Genomic DNA, 23,607 nt, shown 5'->3' with positions numbered 1-23,607 from the left:
CAGCATGTCTGGGCAGGTGCCAGTGTAGCCCCAGTTCTGCTGCTGGCTGCTTCTGGGACACATGCTGGTTAGTGTTCCTTTCCTTTCCAAAAGTGGCTGCCAGAGCCACCTGTCTATGGGCACTGGAGGCTGGCCAGGTAGCCTTGGCTGAGCTCCTGCCCCTCTCAGGCCTGAGCTCCTGTGCCCCCTAGGCTGCTGCCTGTGCTGGGGTGTGGGCTCCCAGGGCCTCATGACAGGCTGTGTGCACACTCACAGGTCAAGTGTGGCATAAGATGCAGCTAGTCCGCGGCCCACTGGTGGGGAGGGGCACCCCAACATGCCTGTGCTCTCTCCTGCCTGGTTTCTAACATGTAGATCCCCAGGCTTTCTCCATCAGCCGCAAGGGGGAGAGAAGGGAGGATTCCCTGAGAGGTGGTTACAGGGAGGGCCACCTCTGAGAGGTGGGCAGTGAAGGAAGCTGAAGTAACTCAGGTAGGCACACCAACCCTCTCACCTCTCTCCTTAGTTTTCTGTGCCCCCCAGAAGACCTTTCTCTGCAGTCCCGAGGCCTGCCCTTCCCTCCCCTGAGCCAATCAGAACAGAGCCTTAGAGGAAGCACCTCTTTATAAGGGCACATTTGTGGGTCAGCGGATTCTTCATCCCTTGACCTGGGCATCCCAAAGTACCAGAGGGTCTTAAAGGACCTGCATGTTGGGGGAGGAAGAGCGGGACCACAGCCTGGTCTAGCCGAGTTTTGGTCTCATGTCATGTAGTGTGCCCACAGTGTGTGAGTGTGTGTGTGTGCATGTGTGCACTTGCTTGTGTATGTGTGTATGTTTGCCCATGCACATAAGGAAGAGACAGAGCCAGCCACCATGTACTCTCTGTTCATGGGAGCTGCTGCCCCCACCTCCAGTCTGACCGCTTCCATTTATTTAAGAAAAATCCGACACAGTGGTGGGTAGAACCCGAGAGAAAAATGGCTGTGGGATGGGGTAGGGGCGACACTGGCTCCCTTCTGCATTTGCCCACCCTGAAGTCCCTCACAGCATTCCCTGGTGCCCTCTACTCCCCTCCCGGGTTCCGTCTTGTGGGGCATAGGTGGCTGCCTGCCCTGTGCTGCAGAGGGAAGTCGCAGTCAGCAGGGTGACGGGTGGCTAAGGCGTAGTAGTGTTGACCTTGCTGTGGGGGACGGGGAAGGCAAGGAGGTCCCCAGGCCTCTGGCTCTGGGGTGTGATTTGGCTAGAGATGGATCCAGGACTCTTTCCCCTTTAGGTCCCTGCCCAAAGCCCTTGGGGCAGAGGTGGGAGTCCTGAGAACTCAGGAAGGTGCCTGGCTTGGCACCAGACCTCTCTGTAGAGTCAGCTCCCAGGTCCTGGGAGGCACCCGAATGCCAGCAGATGCTACAACTGTCCCCCTAACCCCCAGATATTTCGTCCACAGCAAGATCCTTGGCAGGGCAGGCAGCTGCCACCTCCCCACCCTGCAGGACAGAAATCCCTGAATATTAGTTTGAGGAAAGTCTTTGTGCAGCCTGTGACACAAGACCCCCACAGAACCCCCTGCACAGGGGGACGACACGGGGGACGGGAGGCGGGCCCGGGACACAGCGTGGGCCCACCTGACCCCAAGCTGGACCTCCTTGCCTCACTCTTGGGGCAGGGGGTTGCTTAAGATGGGAGGAGGTTTGGAAAGGGCAGAACAGAGGCTGGGGTTGCTTTCCTCCTTACGAGCCACTGGAGGAAGAGCCCTCCACCTGCAGGGGGCAGAAGAGGGTAATGGCGTGAGGCGAGGGAAGGCCCAGACACTGAGGCGGCCCGCTCCGCACGGAGCCAAGCTGCAGGGGCAGGGAGTACAAAATCAATTCAGCCGCCCAGAGTCAGTGTGAACCGGGGTCCCGGCTGTGTCCTACCCCGAGCTGACCCCGTTGGGGGGGGGGGTCCCTGCTACTCCGGCTGGCGCCTCTATGCAATCTCTTTGATTCTGCGCATGTAATTGTGCAGGTCCGGGGGTGCAGTGGGCCGCGTGGGGCCCGCCACATCCGGGCAGCCCCAACCCAGGTCCTCTTCCTCCTCCTCGTCCTCTTCGCCCGCGGGCACCGAGTCATAGGCCAGCTCCTCTGACGGCAGCGTGGTGAAGGTGGTGAACTTGACCCGCTTGCGCTTGGAGGTGGGCGAGCTGGCGGGGTCCTCGGCTTGGTCTCGGGCTGAGCCGCCCGAGGAGCCGTCGCCCCTGCCGTGCACCTGGCTCTGGACGCTGGTCTGCGAGCTGCCGCTGCTGTGGTGGTCGCCGTGGCAGAAGGCGGGCACGGTTTCCAGCGGGTTGCCTGCTGGCGGCGACAGCTCTCCTTGCACCCGCAGCGGCTGCCCGTTGCCCAGGAACACCCAGTGGTGAGAGTGGTCCATGCTGGTCTGGCCCTCGGGCGGGATGCGCTTGTGCCGGTAGCGCAGCACAAAAACGATGCAGTTGATGAGGAAGACGAGGATGGCGAGGCAGAAGACGCCCAGCAGCGCGTACATGCCGATCTCCAGGTCTGTCAGACCCCGTGGCACCTGCAGGAAGCCGGTGGGCAGCGGCAGGAAGTCTTCTGTGGGTGGCACGACGGGGCTGGCGGTGCCCGGGCCTGGAGCCTCCGGTGCGGGTAGCGCAGAGCCCGGCGGGCCAGCTCCCCGGGCCTCGTCCTCGCCCCCGCCGGGCCCTGGTTGGCTGGGGCCCGGGTAGTCATAAGTGGGGTCCTCCTCGTCCCTCCCAAAGTGCACCCGCAGGCCCACAGGGGTCGTGGCGAGCACACTCTTGCGTTTGGTTTTCTGGCAGCTCTCAGCGATGGTTAGCTCTGCGCGAAGCAGCTCCCCTGACCCCTCGGCCTCAGCCACTACCAGAGGGAAGGCCCGGTCCTGGGTCACAGTGGCCACATGCTCATCCAGGCTGCTCACTAGCAGTCCATAGTCTCGTGGGCTGTAGAGGGAGAGTGGGGCTGTGGTGCCATCACTGTAGGAGAGCCAGAGGCTCAGTAGGGCTTCCTGGAGGAGAAGGAGAAGGAGGGGATAGGAGTCAAAGAGCTGGTTCAGCTGGCTTCCTGCTAGATCCTGGGCTCTGTAGGGGCAGGGACCACGGGTCTCTGGCTCCCTGCTGTATTCTCAGCACTGGAACTGTGCCTGTGACCTGTGGCGGGCATTCAGGAACTACTGTTCAAGTGAGAGTCCTCCTCACAGGGTGTGGGGAGGGTAAATCCCAGACCATGGCATCCAGGCCTCATACTGCTCTGAGGATGCCCTTGTCCACTTCACCCTTCTCCCCTGGATAACCTAAAGGTAAGTTTTGCCTTGGGTCTAATTCAAGTCCCTTCTGCTGCTGGAATAGCTCCATATCTCCATGCCTAACCTTGGGCTTACCCCCATCAGACAACAGGCTGTTGAGAATACACACCCCCTCCCCACTTCTGCCTGTTGGCTAAAACCTTCTGAGGATTGCCCTCCCTCCAGATGAGGAAGCAGGGTTCAGAGAGAAGTGATTGCCTTGGGGTGATGGAGTGAGTTAGGGACAGAGGACCCGTGTCCTAACTCCGGGCTCAGCACTTGATGCTCACCTCCTCACTCCCCAGGACTCTCACCTGTCACCTCCTCACTCCCCAGGACTCTCATCTGTCACCTTTCCACTTTCATCCTGTGGCTATGCCTGTGGTGTATACTTGGGGCTCCAGAGTTGAGTGAGGGTACTTCCTGGGGGTGATGTGGAGGTGACAGCCCTCTGTGAATCCAGGAGGGAGACCCTCAGAGGGAACATCTCAGGTGGCAAGAGCAGCAAGCAAGACCTTGCTCTGACCTCCCATGTAGATGTTGTGGCCATAGGGTGGGCAGTTGTGCAGGGCATGGAGGGCAGAGATCCTCCATTTCCTAAAGCCCTAATATGGGGACTCTTGGTGCTAGGGCAAAGCAGAGCCCCCAAGTTCTCCTTCCATACCACCAACTCCCTGGCTGGTGGGCCAAGGAGCCAGTTACCTGCTTGAGGAAGCTCAAGGTCTGTTGGGCAGCTGTGGTGGCTAGGATGGTGTGGCTGCTCCCAGGGCTGGGCCGCAGGGAGAGGGCCAGGCTGGCCACCACCTGGGCCTGAAGCTGTGTGATGCTGACCTTCTCCTCAGTCACCGTCAGCAGCGTCTCCCCGAGCACAGCCTCCGTCAGCGGAGACACCACCTGAGGCAGAGCGGGACCGGGGTGGGAGAGAACCAGGAAAGCACACCCCCCTGCCCAAGACCCCCAGCTAGGGAGAAATCCCAGCACTGCTGGAAGAGGGGCCTGAAGGGTGAGGCAGGCTGGGAGGCAGGACTTCGCAGCTCTGCCTCAGGTCTGCAACCAGGAACCAGTGTCCAGAGGTCATGAGAGGGTCGGGGGCTCACAGGAGCCAGGCGGGAACACAAATGAGAGAGGTGGGCCAATTCTAAGGAAAACAACAACCCCCGCATGGTGACTAGTAGCAATTGATGTGCAACCTCAATGTCAGGGAGACAAAAGGGAGTGGCGACAACTTAGAAAATGAGGGAACTCATTCTCGTGTATAGGAGGCACCAATACTGGCTTTAGCTGATTGTTACCAGATTCATTTTTTGTGAAACCAGAAATCTCTATATATTTTTTAAATGAGAAATCTCCCAATTTAAAACACATTGGATCAATTGTTTTACAAAGAAGATATGTCTGCAGGCAGATTCTAGCCCACAGATCACAACAGTTTCTTAGGTAGATGATTTCTATCCAGACACCCAATTGTCAGGGTAGAAACAAGTCAGGAAAGGTCAAAGTTGAGTTCCTAGATCACCAAATGCACCTTCCTGGACTCTAGGCTGGCTGACTCTCACCTGCTCCCCCTCTGCTCTCAGGGAGGGGTCTGCTTGAGTCACCCACACTGAGGATTGATAAAGGTTGATACAACTTGGAGTGAGAACTTTTACCAAGATGAAGCTAAAAGAGCCTGACCTTGGAATTTCAGACAAGGGGCAGGCAGGGAAGAGTGTTCTGGGGGCCAGTTGGGGTTAGGAAAATCTGAGTTCTGCACCCACAGGTAAATAAGGCTCCCGACACTGCCCCTTTGTGCTGGGACAGAGCCCATACCTACCTTAAAGGGGGTGGTGCCTGGCTCCAGTCCTGCCAGCGTGCTGCTGTCCACCATGTGTGCCACTCGGGGATCGCCCACCCGCATGAAGTCACTGACTAGGTCGGTGACCTCCACCAGCCAGTCCGGGCCTAACATGGTGACCACCTGGTCAGTGCCCTCGGATGATGTCGTGTGGAACTGGGTGAAGACCTGCAGGGTGGCATGCTGGTACTGCAGGGTGCAGCCACGGCTTGCACTCTGCCGCCGCTCCTCCTCCTCCTCATCCTCATCCTCGCTTTCCCGGACTGACCTGGGGTGGGGACATGCCATGCTGAAGGCTTCTCACCTGGACTCTGACCTGCACAGTACACACCCCGCACCCTTGCCCTGTTGGGTCCTCCCAGCTTCCCAGAAGCTCTGCAAAAGCAAGCTTCCTCTATGGCTCATGCCTTCCATCTCTAAGTTGGGAACCAGGAGTCCCAGCCTTTTCTCTCCTAGAAAAGTACATTCTTGACCCTACCTCCTGTCCCTCTCTGCCTCTTCTTGGCTTAAGCCAAGCCTAGGAATAGCTGGCGTCAAATCCTAACAGCAACTGCTGCCTCTTCTTCAGTACTAAGTTTGTGCCTGGCACTGTTCTAAGCTCTAACCTGGAGCAAATGTGATCCTTCTTACAGAATGCCAGAAATCTTAGCTGAATTGTGTCCTGCAGTTGTGTGGAAACTAAGCAGGACCTGTAGGTGATGAACTCGGACATTTAACTGAGGAGATTTCCAAGCAAGGTGTGGAAATCGTGGCCTGGTTTCCTCTTGCTGCTTTTAGTCAAATGTGAGAGGAGAGAGACACATAAATAAACTGTTAAGCAAAAGGGAACCTGGACTTGATGATTTGGGAAATTCTCAGCCTGTGCACGTTGCAAAAAATGCTAAAATTGAGAGGTTTACTGCCAGGAAGGTGTGCTTTGGTGAGAAAGCCAAGTGTTTTTCTCTGTAGCTAGTGCTTTGTTAGTGTACTGGAGGATCAAGCAACCAGAATATTCATTCACACAGAGCATTCTTTTACCTGGGTTCATTAATTTATTCCTCACAAAAATCCTATGAGGCAGGTGTTATTGTGCCCATTTTACAGATACGGAGATGGAGGCACAGAGTGGTTATGTAAGTAGCCCAAGTTTACACAGCTAGTAAATAGCAGAGGCAGGACTTAAACCAGGCTGTCTGGCTTCAGAGTCCGCTACATCCTTGCTACTCAAAGCAGTATCGCTATCACCCAGGAGCTGGTGAGAAATGCAGAATCACAGGCTTTACCCCAGACCTGCCCAGTCAGAATCTGCATTTTACTGAGATCCCCAGGTGATTCGTGTACACATTAAAGTTTGAGAGGCACTGGTCTACACACCTTACTCTTCCAAATCTCTCTGAGTTGAACTCAGCCCAATTCTCACTTGGCCACCTGTTTCTCTCACCACCTGCTTCCCTCTCCAGCCCCGCCCACCTCCTGCTCTTAGCTGCCTGTCACTTTCCTCTCTTCTCTTCCCTGCTGTGCTTTTCTCTCCAGCAGCTCTGAGTGGGTGATTGGAATGCGGTGAGTACACATGTATGTGCCCCACGTATGGGCACCCAGGTGCCTGAGCCTACAAGCCCGCAAGGGAGCCTGGGTATGAGTCACAGTGTGTCTGCACTCATGCACTCACTAGTGTGCCCTTGGTGTGCCCAGGCTGGGACACATGTGTACAGGTGTGTCTGCTTCATTTTGTCTGCCTGACTGCAGGCAGTCTCTTAACCTGTCTCCCCAGCCAACTCCTTTCAGTTCATCCTTTAAGACTTAGCTCAAGAGTTGTCTCTTCCAGGAAGCCTGCCTTGACTTCTCCTGGAGGGAGAGGGGGTTCTCTCCTTGTGCCACTTGATTCCCTGCACACGGGGCTTCCCACCCACCACCATGTTCTGTGGCATGCACATGCCTTCCTCCCCTGCTGGACTGAGAGACTGGCAGGGTCAGGCACTGGCCACATTCACCCCATCTCTCAAACACTTGCCAGTGCCTAGCACACAGTAGCTGGTCAATGAAAGCTTGTTGACTGCACAACCAACCTACAGACTATGTATACCAAGGGCCTTATACCCATATGCAGATCAGACTGTGGGCCGAGGCTGTATCCACCCATGAGTTTCCCAAGTATCCGCCATGGGAGAGGGGCTGTACCTCCGGTCGGGGAGGATAGGTACCCTCCAGCCCTTCACTTGGCTGAGGCGGGCATCTGAGAGCTCAATGTGCAAGGGCAGCTTGGGGACCCAGACTGTCATTTCCAGGGGAGCATTGAGGACGTCGTAGCGGAAGGTGACCCTGGCGTTCATGGACCCTCGAGACTCTTTTCCACTCACAAACACGTAGTCACAGCTGCTGGATACCTGGGGGAAGGGAGGAACAGTTGGCACATCTTCCCTACAGGTCTTCCTGTGAGGCAGTGCGGAGGACTTCAGTCTGACAACCAGGGCTGGAGGGAAAGTCCTAGGAGGCTGAAGGGGAGGAGGCCAGTGGAAGGAAGCACTGATTCCTCTGGGAGTCCTGGCTTCTATCACTGCTTCTGCTCTTTCTTGAGATCACCTCTTGGTGCCCACTGGGGGAGGATTTTGTTCCTTAGTAAGGAGCCAACATGCAAATGCTTTTACAGGGGCTGTTCCTGACCTGCCAGAGCCACGCTTTGGAGGACGCTCCAGGGTGAGGGCCTCTCAGGGCTGGCTCCCCTCCCCCAGCAAGACTGACGGGGCTCTGGAGCCAGGGGTCTGGCAGGTAGAGTCCTCTATGATGCAGAAAAAGGACATGGGCACTTGACTGGGCAGGGAGGAAGTTGAGGTGCAGGGGATGGGGATGGGGGGCAGACCCATGTCCTCCACGGCCTCTCTGGCATGGCTGCCCCAGGAGAATGGGCAGGTAGTTAATTTCCGGTGAGGGGGGCTGCTTAACCAGGTGTGGAGATGAGGGAATGGGAGAGGAAAACTCAGGACCTTAGAACCCCAAGCACAGACGGGTGAATGGCTGCCACCAATGGATGTGGCTGTTGTAAATGCCTGCCCACCTGGATACTGACTTGCATTCCTAGAGGTTCCCTGGATGGAAACCACATGCCTGCTGAGTACATCTTCATTGATACCTGTGCCCACTCACAGAGGTGTCACTGCCAGTACTTTAGGGCAAATGCAGATGGCTCTGTGTGTTAAATATGCCCACGCACACACCTGGCACCCCAGAACGGATCCTGTGTGTACATGCATCTAGGTGCTCATGCTGGTGCACGTCCATGGGTGCATGGTCTTGAGTTTGGGGGAAGGTCTATCATTCAGCTGGTGGGCTGATGATGCCCTGAAGGCTCTGGAAGGACCCAGGGGCTCTGGGACTATGGTTTATCCATGGAGATGAGCCCCTGGGGCATCCCAAACGCTGCCAGCTCCCATCATCATCTCAGAGGGGTGGGTGGAGGGATGGGACAGCAGCCCTGCCAGAAATGCTCATTTCCCACCTCGGAAGGCAAAGAATTCCAACGCAGACCTGTAAATTCCACTTAGAATGTGGCAAACTCCGTAAAGACCTGAGTATATTTCATCAAGATTTGTAACCAATTTCATTTAGAATCTTCTCTGATTACCCCTTGGTTCTGGTCTGCTCTGGAGCTGGGATGGGGGAGTCTGGGTGGCAGAGAAGGTGCTGGGTGAGGGCCCTTGGGAGCAGGCCTGTTTCTTCCCATCCCAGTCTTCCAGCAGTGGACAGCTCACAGGCTTCTGGTGAGGCTTCTCTGAAGGGGGTGATGCAGTGGAGCGGGGGTTCCAGACCATCTACTCTGGCTCCCTTGGAAGGCATCCTTCCTGGATCATGGATAGATGAGGTGAGCCCCATGCTTCCCAGACTTGGAGGGACCCAAAGGCAAAGCATAGAGAGAGAGACAGCAGGAGGGAGCCCAAGTGACAAGGAGGAGAAGGACATCTGCATTCCAACTGTCCTGCTTTCCTTCAAGCTGAATTATTTACAGGAGCAAGAACAAATTCAGTTGTCTAACCATCTGATTTTGATGCCTACTGGAGGGTGGCATAGTGAGTGGCTGGCCCACCCCACAGTTACCAGGGCTGGACATCTGCTCACACCACTGCCCACTCTACTGCCTCCTCTTCCCAACTCACTTCTGACCACTGTTCAAAGCCAGGGGAAGGAGGGAATCTGGAGCCCTCTTGGGGAGGTGGCAAACTGGGTCATTGAGTCAGATGAGTGTCATGTGGGCTGGGCTGTGGGGGACCTGGGGCCAAAGCAGGTCCCTGGGAAGGAGCTCAGGGGTGGGGTGGGAGCTCACGGCTGACAGGAGCCTTTAGGAGTTGGAGAAGCTGGAGCGTGTGTGCCGGGAGTGGGGCCCTCAGTACACAACCTTCATGCCTGGCCTAACTCATATGTTTCTTGAGGCTTCTTCCTGAGCTACATTGCCTTCATCTGATCACTTGCACTCTGGGTTCACGGCAGGTCTTTGAGGGGTTGTCTCCCTCACCCACCCCCTGCTGCCTTGCCAAGTGTCTGCACACACCAAGGTTCAATAATGTCTTGCTAGATTGATTTCAAGTTGTTGACACTGCTTTCTCCCCCTCTGGCCTGACTGTCTGTTTCATATTCCTACAGGAAGCCCTCCAGGACTGGCCAAAGCAATATCCAGGGGCAGGAAGAGGGAGTATCATGGGAGTCAGTACACTTGAGAATCAACCCTTTCAGAATGGTGTGGTGAAGCTTGGGATGAAGTAAGGCCAGTGCTGTAGGAGGAAAAGGTGGGGGCAGCTGCTGCAACAGAAGGGGTCCCAGCACAGGGAGGCCTGGGTTCAGTGTTAGAGGATGAGTAAGAGTCAGCCACCTGGACTCTGGTTTGAGGTTCTACTCTCCTGAAGGCCTAGGGCTTCTTCCCCAGGGGCCCCACCTCCAGGATGCCCACCTTGATGATGTCTTCATTGTCAGACTCGCATTCCACTAGGGCGGAGATGTCCAGGACGAGGCCATTCACCTCGATGGCAATGACCTTGACAGGGATGGCCACTGTCCGGCCAGTCAGAATGGCCGTGTTGATGATCTCTGTGTCCTGCAGGGAGGAGAAGGGGGGGGCTCTACTTGTGGTCCCCTTCTGTCCTGGGACACACTAGCCAAGGCCCCAGCTCCTGGACGCTCCCCCCCCACTCCTCAGATGCACATCCTTCCAGTGGGGACACTTGCACCCGTGTGCAGGGATAGGCAACCACCCCTCCTGGCACTCCTTGACAGATGGTCTGCTCACTCGGGCTTTTGCAGGAACCTCAGGGTCCACCTCACTGTGCTGCCGGGAAACAACCCTTCCCCAGGCCCCTGCCATCTCCTCTTAAACAGCTTCCAGGCTCCTCAGGACTCACACAGTAACATCCAACACATGCCTGGCTATTCAAGCTGCCCTGGGCTGGCCCCAGACAATCATTCCAGCCCTACCACTCCATGACACTCTTTCTAAATCTATAGTTCTTTTGAACAAACTACTCATATTCTCACTACTGTACCTTTGCCCAAGTAATGCCCTGCCTGGGACACACCCTGCATCTCTGGGAGGCTCCCTCCCAGGTGACCTCCAAGACTCAACTGCATTGCTACCTCCTTCTGCAAACTTCCCATCAGTGGTCCCTCCATGGTGACATCTCCCACCTCTGCCCCCCTGAGCATCTGCTGTCCTCATGGCCCGACAAATATAAAACACATGCATGCACCTTCTCACACAGGCATACCTGGGCATGGCAGGAAGTCTCACATATACACACATGTCAATTTGTACATATACTCAGTGGTTCACATTCTTGTCACACAAATGTGCACACATGCATAGACCCAGGCATCTTCTGGGCTGGTCACCTGCCTGCTCACCATGGCCAGGGGCAGGATGGCTTGCACATCCCGCTGAATGACCGTCAGCTCAGTGACTGCCCGCTCCAGGTCAGGCAGGGCGCCGTGGCCACGGTAGTCAATGTGCCACATGATCCTCCGCTTGACTGACTGGCTGGTGAAGTTCTCCATTTCAAAGTCCAGCTGCAAGATCTCCAAGGGGCCCTGGCCCTCCCTGCCAGGGTAGGGGAGGGAAGGAGAGCAGAGGATGAAGGGCTGGGAGCAGCCCAGGAGCTCAGAAACTCTCAGTGGGGACCCCACCCCTCCCCGGCAGCTGCCTGATGGGGCCCTCTGGGCCTTCTCCAGCCCATCTGAGGTGCTCCAGCCCCAGGATCCCACTGAGGGGCCTGGACCTCAGAGACCCCAATGACCGAGCCCCAGCCCTCCCCAAGCCTAGCCTCCTCCTTCAAAGATTCCCCACTCCTCTCAGATGGCTGCTTTGCGAAGAGGTGGGTAGATGCACCACCTCGGGCTCACCTGGGGGGCAGGGGTGTGCTCTGAGCCCAGGCCACATCCACGGTGGCTGTTGAGTGCTTTGCCCCAGTCAGCAGCTCCGAGGTCACATGCCACTGGCCACTCCGTGACTTGGTACCTAAAAGGGTCACACCCTTCTTGGCCTTCACCCTGGGACAAAGTGGGAGGAAGAAGAGGGAGAGGGTCAGGCTACAGCCCAAAGCTGCCTGCCTGGCCACCATCACTAGACTGTACTGGGGGGAGGGGGAACAGATAAGCTAAGTTACCCCGAGTCCTGGATGTTTCAGATGAATGTTTCAGATGAACTTGGGGAATCTGGTATCACACAGCTGAAAACTCTGACCCTCGGTGAAAGCTGCAATCCCTTCTACCGTATCCCTGCCAAGTCTTTGCCTAATCTCTACTGGCATACCTTAGTGACAGGGGACTCACTACTTCTGCACACATCCCATTCCATTTTCAGAAAGACCAAGAAAACTAGAAAGATCTTCCCTGGATGTAGCTGAGCTAAAACAGCCACAGGCTCTGCTGGGCAACAGAGAACAATTCCCCTCTGTCCTAACTGTAGTAGTTCTTCAAAAAGCTGGCGAGGTGAGTAGGTGTTCTCTGAATCTTCTTTCCTTCAGTGCCTCCAATTGTTTTTTGCCATAGTTCTGAATCACCTCACAGCCAGTCACACTCCTCTGGACACTAAATGTGAAGTATCCCATACTAAATACGACACTTCAGCTGCACTCCAATGAACATTGGCTAAAGCAAGGTGATTGCCACCTCTCTAATTCTGCAAGCTCTACTCCTATTAATGCAGCCCAAGATCTCTGATGACTGATTTCACTTATGTTCACATTCAGGTATCAATCACTGAATGAGGCATGACCCTTTCCGACAGCATTTAAACTTGAAGGTAGGACACTGAGGAGACAGGGAAATACTTAAAGAAGCTGCAGGCTTATAGTGATGTTTCAGGTCCAAGGCATAGTGCCTGGGGCTGAGGAAGCATTTTGGTGGGTGTCCTCAGAGTCACACAACATAACTCAAACCACAGATTCCTAGTGTGAAATATTATCATTTTTGGGGTGGATGTGATACAATTTAAGGCATTTTTGAGTTTGCAAACTGTGTCCTTTTCAAGGTGTAGAAGGATAGAAAGAGCTGGGAATTCTGAAAATTTTTCTCCCAACTCTAGGACTGGGGCAAATGTCCCAAAACACACACACACACACACACACACACACACACACACACGATTCTTTTGGCTCCCAGCCAAGAGGCTGCTCTCTGGACCCAATTTCTCTTCCTTGGCCTCAGTCTCCTTGTCTGTAAAATGTCTAAGGGCCCTTCTAGTCCCAGTTCTATTATTCTGGAAATCTATGCTTGTGAAACTGATATTTCCTCTTTACCATGATGCCATTTCTATGAGATCCAGAAATAGGGGCAGGAATGTTTGTTGCCATTAGACAGATAAGAGCCTTGAGGCTCCAATAAGCGAGGTATCTTCCTGAGGTTGCTCAAGTGCTAAGTGACAGATCCGGGATTAGGATGCTGGACAGGGATACAGCTGGGAGGTCCCCCCACCCCCCAACCCACCCACAAGGAGTCAGGTATGCATTTGATCTTGGAAGGGAAACCAGATCCCCACCCATCTTCCCTACTACCTGAGTGTGAAGTGCTCCACGCTGGGGCTGGAGGGCGAGGAGGAGTTGGGGGCCAGATAGAGGAGGATGCTGAGCACTTCCCCGGGCTTGAGGGGCCGGTCTGGCAGGCGGATCATCAGGTTGCTGTCCAGCCTGTGCTCCTGCAGGGTCCTCCTGGGGGGCGGGCGGAACAGGCTGATGCTCCCGATGCGCAGCAGGGGGTGCTGGGTAGGGCTTTCCGCTCGGGCCCCCACCCCGGGCCCGGCCCCCCGGCGGGAGCCCCCGCAGCCCCCCGACGCATCAGGGGCGTGGAGCGTGTAGTAGAGCTCGGCCTGCTGGCTCTCCCCCGTCGCCTCGGGCTCCAGCCCGTCCGGGGACTTGCGGCGGGCCGTGGGTGGCGCAGCGGGGGCTGGGGGCCCGAACCAGGCCAGGGGCAGCTCTGCCCGCACCAGACAAGTGGCCAGGCCCCCGCTGAGGCGGCAGGAGCTCTTGACTTCCCGGGCATCCCGGAAGGCATGCAGGCGGACACAGGGCAGCCGCTCGGTGACGCCGAAGTCGTCCCAGTCCCGGCCGGCTACGTAGAACAGCACCTGGACCACGGGCTGCGAGGCGGGCACGTGCGAGCGGACGATGAAGGCCCGCACCTTCCAGTTCACCGTCAGGCGCTCGGGGATGTCCAGGGTGCTGGACGGCTGCAGGAGCTCCCGCGCCACCACCTGGCTGGTGCTGAAGGGCCCCAGAGAGACGTTGAGGACCGGCAGCTCCTTGGTCTGGAACACCACGAAGGGCTCGGAGCGCTGCAGAGAGCTGTTGGCGACCGCGGGTGACGGGGGCCGCGCCTCCCGCAGGAAGAAGGCCAGCCGCGTGTGCGACAGGCGGTAGCTGACTGGCAGCACCGGGCTGGCCTGCGGCCCCGGCGGGCTGGGGCTGGCCGGGTGGGAGCGGCCAGAGGCTGGGGACAGACAGAGGAAAGAGGCCCAGGGTGGTCAGGAGAGGCCACGCTGGGACCCCAGGGTGCCCCCAGGCTCGTCTCTCCCACCCCACAGAGGGCTGCCAACTCCTCTAGCTGGGCAGGTTCAGCCTGGCTGTCCATCCTCCGGTGGGCCCCAACCCTGGCTCAGGCCTGGCTCCCAGAGCTCCAAGCCTGGCACCCCCTTTGCTGGTATGTGAATTACCCTCTCACCCACCGCTTCATTTATTTACCTGCGACATAGGGGTAAAGATAATACCGTCGCAAAACCTTGTGAACCTTCAGGAGGTTCTATCCCCAGCGCCCTCACTTGTAAAACAAGTATAAAAATTGTTTCTGCCTCAAAGTGCCATTGTGAGGACTTTCAAAGTCGTGCGCATAGAGGGCTGAGTGGACTCTGGTGCTGAAAAGAGTCCCTGTGATCCCTGTGTATCCTGCACTGCGCTCCGTGTGGGACAGGCCTTAGCGTATTTCATCCTCAGATCAATGCTCTGAGGTACCTCTTATTATGATCTCCATCCACGCGACCAGTTTTCTATCAGTAACTTCCTTTTTGAGTGCCAATCCTAACATCTTACAGATAAATGAACTAAGGTGCAGGACACTTAAATAATTTAACCAAGTTATATGGGCAAAGGGGCCAGCAGTGGGACTTGAACCTGGGGTCCCCTGACTCTCGAACCCAAGCTCCTTAGTATTGTACCTGCTCTCTCAGCTGGTGTAGGGTCCCCAGGGATCCAGCTCTCTCCCTTCTCCCTTTGGCCACAGACTATATAACCAGGAAATTTTATCCTCAGTCTCCCACACCTAAACATGGGCCTCCTCCCTCCTCTTAACTGCCTCTCCCTACCCACCAAGGAAGCTGCCAACTTCTGGCAATTCCACCTCAGGCTGCCCCTTGTCCTCCCTCCCTGCCCCCATTCTGGCCTTACTGCTGTCGCTATGACGACATACCACTGGCCAATAGGGTCTCCCCTCCTCTCTGGCATTCTCCTCCCCCACACAGTAGCCAGAGTATTTTTTTCTCCTGGACACAAATCAGACATTGTTGCCCCTCTCACTCCCAGCCCAAAACTCGTTGGACACTGTCAAGGAACAGGAAGGACCCAAACGGAGGTTTGAGGTTTGAAATCTTATTTTGGATCTCCCCAAGAACCTCCCGAGTCACATTCCTCAACTGTAAAAACAGGACAATGATAACAGTAATGCTGGTCTCGCAGGAGGCTGTGTTGTCATTTGTTTTGTTTCTCAGAATCAAATAAGAAAGCACTCTATAAATTGTGCAACACAATGCAAATGTGTGTATATCAAAGAAGCGCTCCTATCTGCTTACAAAATAAAATCCAAACTCACTTTGTACCTGAGTGTGACATTCAGGGCCCCCTACACAAGGCGTCAGGATCCTTTTTCTCCTAGGACTCCTCCCAATCCCCTGCTGGTGGCGTAACTGGACAACTCACTCACCTTCACACTCACGGCTGCTGCCTTATCTCCCCTCCTTTGTTCATGCTGCACCCTCTGCATTAGATTATCTCCTTTCCTATCTGTGCATATCCAAATCTGAATCTTCCTCCAGGGTCCAGCTTCAATGCCACCTCCTTCATGAAGCCCTCCAAGATGTGCCCTCAACTCCTGGGGGTTTCCTCAGAGCTTTGTCCTTCTCTGAAGGGACCTCCCATCCTGCCTGTGTGGGAGTTAGTTACCTACCTGGCCTTGCGCCAAGAAAGCCTTCAACAAATCATGGCTGATCTACACTGAGTGATCTGCAGAGACCTATGTCCCAAAGAGGAGACTCCTAGTCAGTACTAGATATTACTTGCAGTTTATGCATATTTATCATTTTACCACTGTCAGTTAAACCTTGGCAGTTTCACAAACATTCACATCCAGTTCCTCGCAAAAGCGGTGAACTAAAAATTCCTTGCTCTTGAGGCTCTGGTCTCAATATCCTTCAAAAAAATAAAATCTGCAGTAATCTTCCTTGTTCAAAAAATAAGGCAACAGGCTTGGGGCATGACAAAGGCCCTCGGGGTCAGTTGTTTTAAGAGGCGTGGCACATGCTCTCACCACTTCTCCTGTGGCATGCTCGGAAGGACGTGAGCAGCCCTTAGGACCAACTGGGGAAATCACCGGCAAGAAATGCTGGGAGCTGATGGTGGGGTGGGGGTGTGCAGCAGAGTCCAAGTGAGGACAGGAAGTTGTTTGCAGAGATGGGGAGAGCTTTTCTGGCTGGTGCCTAGGTCTCATAACGTGTCCCTGCAGCCTGGGGAATGCTGGCCCCGAGGCCAACTGTGGAAATGCAGGGTCCACATTTGGACCCTGCTTTGGAAGCAGCAGCAAGCAGGCGAACCAACTGGCTTTGGGACTCAAGTGCAAGCCCTCTCCCTGCCACAGACTCACTGTGCAAGTTGCTTTCCATTTTGAGCCTCCATTTCCACCTCTAAAGTTGTGGTGGTGACATCAGTCCCTCCCCCTCACAGGGATGTTGAGAGTAGCTGAAAGACCAAGAACAGGACATCCTCTGGGACCTGCAGAGCAGCCCAGGGCAGGGGCACTGCTGCATGTATGGGGAGGTACAGGGCCTTTGAGTGCTGAGGCCAAGGTGGGGCCCCACGCTCCTCCCTCTGGGCTGGGAGAAGGGCAGCTGTGGTCAGTGGGCTCTCAGTGCTCACTATCCAGGCTGTAGAGGGACGGGGGGGGGGGGGGGAGCGGGTACTAGCCCTGCCTTAGTTATCCATCCCCTGGAGACCCCAGAGCTGCTAAGTGGCACTTAGTCCCCTTTGCCCTCTCTTACTGTTCCAACTTCACGGCTGACCATCTGGATTCCTTGGAGGCACGGCAGGGGCAGAGACCACCAGATGGGCACCGGACTCAGAGGGGCATGAAGGAAGGGATTGGACAATTGTGACTGCATGCCCCACCCGGATCCCCTCACCCCCCCTGGGGGAGGACCTGGTCTGGCAAAACCAACATCCTGGATCATCCAAACCATTTGCTGTTCTTGGATTACACTGAGAAAATATTTCTACCCCAGGGCCTTTGCATTGCCGTTCCTCCTGCCTTGAATTTTCTCCCCTTGATATTCAATGTTTCTCTCCCCCTCTCTTTTCTCTCTCTCTCTCATCAATCTTTGTTTAGGGACATACTCCTGATCATTTATCTAAAGTAGCGCTGTCTCTCCCCCAGCCCCACCACTGATCTCTCTCTATCCCTTTTCCTGTTTCATTTTCTTCATAGCACTTACCGCCACTTACCTCTATATTATATGCATGTGTCTGTTTCTGCCAACTAGAAATTAAGTTCCACAGGGGCACAGACATGGCTTTACTCCCTGCTCTATTTTAGTGCTTACAACATGGCCTGGCACATAGCAGGCAGGCCCTCAATATATTTTTGTTGAAAGAATGAAATTCTCTGAATAAGCAGCCCGGCAGTGACTGGGATGCTGTGAGGGTAATGAGTTCCTTGTCAATGGGGCATCCAAGAGGAGACTGGGTGGCCACTGAGGGGAGGGCTCCTGGCACCAGGCCTAGGGGCTCTGGACCCTGTCAGCAACCTTGCAGATAAGAAAGCTGAGTTTCTGGAAGGGGAAGTAACCTGTATCAAGAAAACAGCTGGCATTCAGAAGAGGGAGCCGGAAAGCTGACATTAGGGCATTGCAATTTTTTATTTATGTCACTGTGGCCCACAGCAGCCTCTCCCATCACCACCATGAACCATTCCATCCTGCTGGGGCCCTTCAGTCTCCTCAGCATTGGAGCAGGGTGGGTCCCTGAGACCTAACACTAATCTCTGCTCTCCCACTCACTTGTTCTGGAGCTTAAAGGAACCTGCTTGATCTCTCTGGACCTCAGTTTCTCCTGGGAGGTGGAGAAGGCCCTGGAAGCGTTCTGGTGTGGCTAGAGAGGGAAGAGGTAAGACTGGTGGAATGAGCAGATCAGTTGGTCTGTCAAGTTTTCAGAGACACTAAATATGTGCTTGAGTGCACACACGCGTGTGTGCTAACATGCACTCTGGCCTGCATCTCGGCACAGAGCTCTGACTGCCAGACATCATGGAGCATGGCATGGGAGGAAAAGCTACTGGAAGGTTCCTTGAAGGAAGACAGATGTGGGGTGGGGAGAAGGGAGGCTGATCAACACAGAAACTGAGGTCAGGCCAGGACTGGAGGTGGGAGAGAAGAGAGGTTGTGGGGGAAGGCACTGCTTGGACCCACCTTGGACGCACAACACTAAGGTGTGCCTATGCCCTCCAGACTGACCTGGGAGGACACACACACACACACACACACAGGCTGGCACCTGCCCGCCCCCCACTTCCACAGCAGGCTGCCCATAACAATTCCGTGGGCCTGGTTCTGAACCCTGGCTCCACTGGGCCCCCAGGCTGCAGTTCTGTTTTGACCCCAGCTTGCCCTGCAGACCAGTTTGCCTGCTGCCTTCCTGCTGATGACCTGGGCTCTGACTTGGTCTTCAGTCATTTGGGTCTGGCCCTGGGACCCTCTCCCTTGCTGCCGTCTCCTGAGAAAAGGGGCTTCTCCATGTCTCCTCTGACTTATGATGGGGTGTTATGGGCTGAACTGTGCCCTGCCCTTGAGATCCTAACCCTCCGTATCTCAGAATATGGCTGTATTTGAAGACAGGATCCTTAAAGAGGCTACTAGGCTTAAAATTAAGCTGTGAGGGTGGGCCCTAATCCAATATGACTGGTGTACTTATAAGAAGAAGAGATGAGGATGCAGACACACACAGAGAGAAGTTGTGAAGACACAGTGAGAAGGTAGCTGTCTACGAGCCAGGAAGACAACCCTCACCAGAAATCAATCCTGCTGACACCTTGACCTCAGACTTCCAGCCCCCAGAACTGTGAGAAAATAAATTTCTGTTAAGCCACCCAGCCTGTGGAACTTTGTCATGGCAGCCCTAGCAAACTGATACATGGGGATTTGGTATTTCTGCCCCTCCGAGCCTCAGTTTCCCCAGTAAAATGTAGAGACAACATACAGGGGGAGGAAGACAGGCTGGGATCATCCAGCTTTTGCACATGGGGATAATGATGATGACTGAGGTGTTCCCAGCTCTCCCCAGCCTCCCCGACCCCTGCCAGACTGTGCTTAGCGAGGGACCCTTTCCATATGAGCTGGACCAGCTCTGTTCTTCTCACAACCCAAAAAGACAAATACATGAATAGTGGCTTCACCAGCTCTGCAGGAGGGTATCTGACCCAACAAGACCCAAGAGCAGACTTGCATGTGGGAGGATGTGGGGGTCCCCCTCATCCTTCCATGCCCAGCTCAGCCACTGCCTCCTCCTTGAAGCCTTCGCTGATACCTCTCACGGCCACCATCCTAGTCATTCAACCCCTCCTCCTCTCTGCCACTGTTCTGCTCTGGCCAGCTCTGACTCTGACAGATCAGGAGGATCCTGGTCCTGGTATGAGTGAAACGCATGTGATCTGGGAACTCTCTCATTAGTCACTTCTGTGATTGCTCCCCTGGGGCCATGAGACACTGGCTCCTGTGTCCCTGTGCCTGCACAGAGGTCTCTCAAGCCGTCTCCACCATTAGATGGCACATAGTTGTTTTTCATACCTCTGCCTATGCAGCTGAACTGGGATATTGGTGTACACTGGGGCTGGACCAGCTTTGCGTAGTACAAGGTCAGCTGGCTGAAGGAGAGGTGATGACTTGGGCCCGGTGGGCCCTGAACACTGCCCTCCCTAACCACCAGGACAGGGCCTCTATATATAATACTATAGAACAGTTGGTGTCTTGGACAAAGATGCCCAACTCAAGTGGAACACAGTGGGTGCTGAAACAAATGTCAATTCCATACTTTTCTGAGGTTGGGGGTACCTGCCCAGGCTTGCCTTAGGTGTCTGGGAGCACAGCAGGGGCCCTCTGCCTCTCCCAGACAACCTTCTCCCCAGGTGCAGAGGCCAGCCCCTACCTTATTGGGCACATAAATGAATCTCTGTGGAAGCTAGGGCCGGGCAGGCTAGGGGTGGGGGCTCCCCTGGCCATGTCTCTGCTTCTAATCAAGATCTGATGCCTCCTGCTTCTACCTCTAATTGTCTCCAAATTAAAACTAATCTCTTGCAAATCAGAAAAAAAATTGTCATTAGGTTTGGTGAGTTTGTGGTTCAGAGGCACAGCAGGTGTGCCAGCAGGGCTCAAGGGTGCTGGGCTGTGCTGGGAGGGAGCTTGGCCTGCTCACCTCTGTGTGCACATGCACATGCATCCACACCAGATGTCAGTGTTTAGGGATCTGTTAGCACTTGCTCCTGGGTTTGCCTGAATATAGGAATCAACCAGAGCAAACAAAACAACAGCAAACAATGCCTACGGAAGGGCCCAGGCTTATACAGTCAGAATTTCCAGGGGACAGGCCTGGTATCCACGTTTATGAAGCACCCCAGGCATTGTTATCATGGCAGATGCTTGGAACATAGCACTAAGTAGGAAGGGTTGGTGAAGATGCTGAAGAGGCTGTGACTTGCACAGCATAACGCTGACATTGCTGATAGTTAATGGTGACAAGTACCCAGAGCCTAGAACAGTGCCTGGCCCATGTAGATGTGAAACACCTTTTTTATCAAATCTACGAATGAATGAATGAATGAATGAATGAGAGGGGGCATGAGCCATGATTAGTGCCTATACAGTGAGAATTTCCAGGGGACAGGCCTGGTATCTGTATATTTATGAAGCATTCCAGGCGTTGTTATTATGGCAGATGCTTGGAACATAGCGCTAAGTAGGAAGAGCTGGTGAAGATGCTGAAGAGGCTGTGACTTGCGCAGCATAACGTTGGCGTTGCTGATAGTTAATGATGACAAGTACCCCGAGCCTAGAACAGTGCCTGGCCCATATAGATGCAAAACACATCTTTTTGTCAAATCTATGAATGAATGAATGAATGAATGAGAGGGGGCATGAGCCATGATTAGTGCCAGTGGTGAGAATCCCAGGTGCTATGTGGTCCATGATGAAGAGGCCAGAAATAGGCTCTGCCCAGCAACCCCACCCCAACCCAGACCTGGAGGACCACAGGAGTGGTATAACCTAAGGGAGTAGGACGGACTGGCCCTGGGGAAACACCCCCAACCCAGGAGACCTGCGGTGGAGGAAGCTGAGGCCAAGGGTATAAAGAAGAGGGCTCTGAACTGGGAGGAAGGATGCCTGGGTTCCAGGCCTGCTCTTCCTTGGCTGATTGGCAAATCTGACCTAGCAGGTCATTTCTGCTCTCCAGGGCCGTACTTCCCCCTAGGCAAATGGGGAATTATTAGCCCATGATACCAAATCATTCCTGTGGAGCAGAGCGTTGCAGTGGGAAAAACCTGGGTCTTGAGAAAGATGTTTCATTTTTTAAAAAATCAGCGATACCCAGTGTTAGCAAGGGGCTAAAGAACTGGTGCACTCCTCTGCCCTCCTAGTGGAGGGTGAACTAGGTAAGCTTTCTAGAAAGCAATTACAAAATATGCTTTAAAGGTCTTAAAACTGTTCATGCTCTTTGACCCAAGAAATCCTGCTTTGGGAATCTAATAAACAGAAATCTGCTCAAAGATTTACAAATGTTGGCCGGGCATGGTGGCTTACTCCTATAATTCCAGCACTTTGGGAGGCTCAGGAGGGAGGATCGCTTGAGACCAGGAGTTTGAGACCAGCTTGGACAACAAAGCGAGATCCCATCTCTCAAAAAAAAAAAAAAAAAATCACCAGACGTGGACCTGTGGTCCCAACTACTTGGGAGGCTGAGACAGGAGGATCACTTGAGCCCAGAAGTTCAAGGCTGCAGTGAGCTATGATCACATCACTGCATTCCAGCCTGGGCAACAGAGTGAGACCCTGTCTCTAAAACAAACAAACAAAAAACAAAAAAATTTACATAGATGTTCACTGTAATGCTATGTTTATAGTAAAAAATTAGAAACAACCTAAATGTCAAAAGCAGAGTTAGATTAAATAAATGCAAATGCATAAAAATGGATATATGCAGCCATTGTAGATCAAGTTTTCAAAAATAATATTTACCTGAATGGGAAAATGTTCACAAAATAGTGCGAATTAACAAAGCAGGGCATTAAACTGGCTATATGGCATAATACCAATTTTATGTACAAAGATGTAAACACTGGGAAGAAATGTATCAAAATGCTAATGGTGGTTATCTCTAGGGGGTGGGGATTATGGATGATTGCTATATTTTACTTTATGTTTTTATGTATTTTCCAGTTGTCTGCAATGAACACACATTGCTTGTAAAATTAGAAAGGGAAAAATAAATGCCATTTAAAATAAATGAAAGTGTTTGAAGTTGTTCCAAGAATTTTTTTTAAAGAGGAAATCCTTAAAAAAATAAGAAAGAGCCCGTTTGGCTTTGGAGTCACATAAACTCTCAGTCAAATTTCAGCTCTGACATAGCTGTGTGTCCTTGGGCAAGTTACTTAACCTCTCAGAGCCTCAATTTCCATACCTGTGAAATGAAGAGCTTAGAACCTATTTCACAGAGTTGTGATTAAATAAGCAAATTGCTCGCTTGGTGTAATTTCTGGTACAAAGTTGGTGCTCAGTGTTCATTCGTTCATTCATTCATTCATTCATTCATTCAACATTTATTGGTTATTTAGTTCTGAGAGGAGGGAAGTGCTCACCTGTTTTTCTCCTGCACTTGGTGCATTGTCTGGCTCACGCAGGTCTTCTGCCAAGGTTGGTTAAGTTAAATAAGACAAGTACAGAGATGACAGGCACATGGAGCAGTGTCCCAAAGGCCTCCAAAGAGGCACCGAGGCTGGAAGGAGTGCCAGCTGTTGAGGGGCCCTAGAATTTGGCCCAGAAAGCTCTGTCACTGATCTGCTGCGTAACCTTGGGCAGTTTCTTTCCTTTCTCTGGGCCTCAGCTTCTTTCTTTGGGAGAAGAGGATAGTCCCTGCTCTGCATGCCACATGAGTGACCTAGAAGTAGGTAGCGGTTATGTCTGCAGGGAGTTCTGGACTAGGTAGCAGTCAGCTGGCCGAAGGAGAGGTGATGACTTGGGCCCGGTGGGCCCTGAACACTGCCTTCCCTAAGCACCAGGGCAGGGCCTCTATGTATAATACTATTGAACAGTTGGTGTCTTGGACAAAGATGCACAGCTCAAGGAGCAAACAGAGGTTAAAACCCAGCCCCGGCTCTGCTCGCCAAGCCCGGTGCCTAGTGAGGGGCTGCTTTTGTATCTTTCTAAATTGCACAAAGATACCACCTAAGCTGGTCCCCACAGGCATGTCCCCACCCCAGGCTGGAGCTGCAGTAAACCACATTGGGCCAGAGGGGAGAAGAGGGGTCCAGTCCAGAGACAGAGGGATGAGTGCCTCCCTGAGGTCTGGGGTCTGAGGGAGATGTCCACCCCATCCCCAGCCCTGTAGCTCCTCCCTCCTCCAAAGCAGCTCAAACCTTCCCCACCACGAAGCTGCAGACCCCATCTCTAGGACCAGCCTGGGTTCTCCTCTGGCACAGGCTAGTGTCTCCCTCATCAACCTGGAGGCTCCACTTTCCTCTCTCCAC

At 53.9% G+C, this 23,607-nt stretch overlaps 1 protein-coding gene across 1 annotated transcript in view; it reads right to left on the bottom strand.

Annotated features, from left to right (window-relative positions):
* TMEM132E (transmembrane protein 132E) overlaps window positions 858-23,607 on the bottom strand; it is a 59,737-nt gene continuing 36,987 nt past the window's right edge. The window contains exons 2-9 of the mRNA NM_001304438.2: window positions 13,119-14,049; window positions 11,467-11,613; window positions 10,972-11,164; window positions 10,025-10,168; window positions 7,267-7,472; window positions 5,089-5,377; window positions 3,978-4,169; window positions 858-2,999 (exon numbers count right to left, since the gene is read on the bottom strand). Of these exons, the coding sequence (NP_001291367.1) occupies window positions 1,944-2,999; window positions 3,978-4,169; window positions 5,089-5,377; window positions 7,267-7,472; window positions 10,025-10,168; window positions 10,972-11,164; window positions 11,467-11,613; window positions 13,119-14,049 (3,158 nt within the window). The 3' untranslated portion in view covers window positions 858-1,943. The remainder of the gene's footprint in view (window positions 3,000-3,977; window positions 4,170-5,088; window positions 5,378-7,266; window positions 7,473-10,024; window positions 10,169-10,971; window positions 11,165-11,466; window positions 11,614-13,118; window positions 14,050-23,607) is intronic.

This window comes from Homo sapiens, chromosome 17, assembly GCF_000001405.40.
Source record: "Homo sapiens chromosome 17, GRCh38.p14 Primary Assembly".
Lineage (NCBI taxonomy): Eukaryota > Metazoa > Chordata > Mammalia > Primates > Hominidae > Homo > Homo sapiens.
Note: the sequence above shows the minus strand (reverse complement) of the source record. Positions and strands in the feature narration are given on the sequence as shown.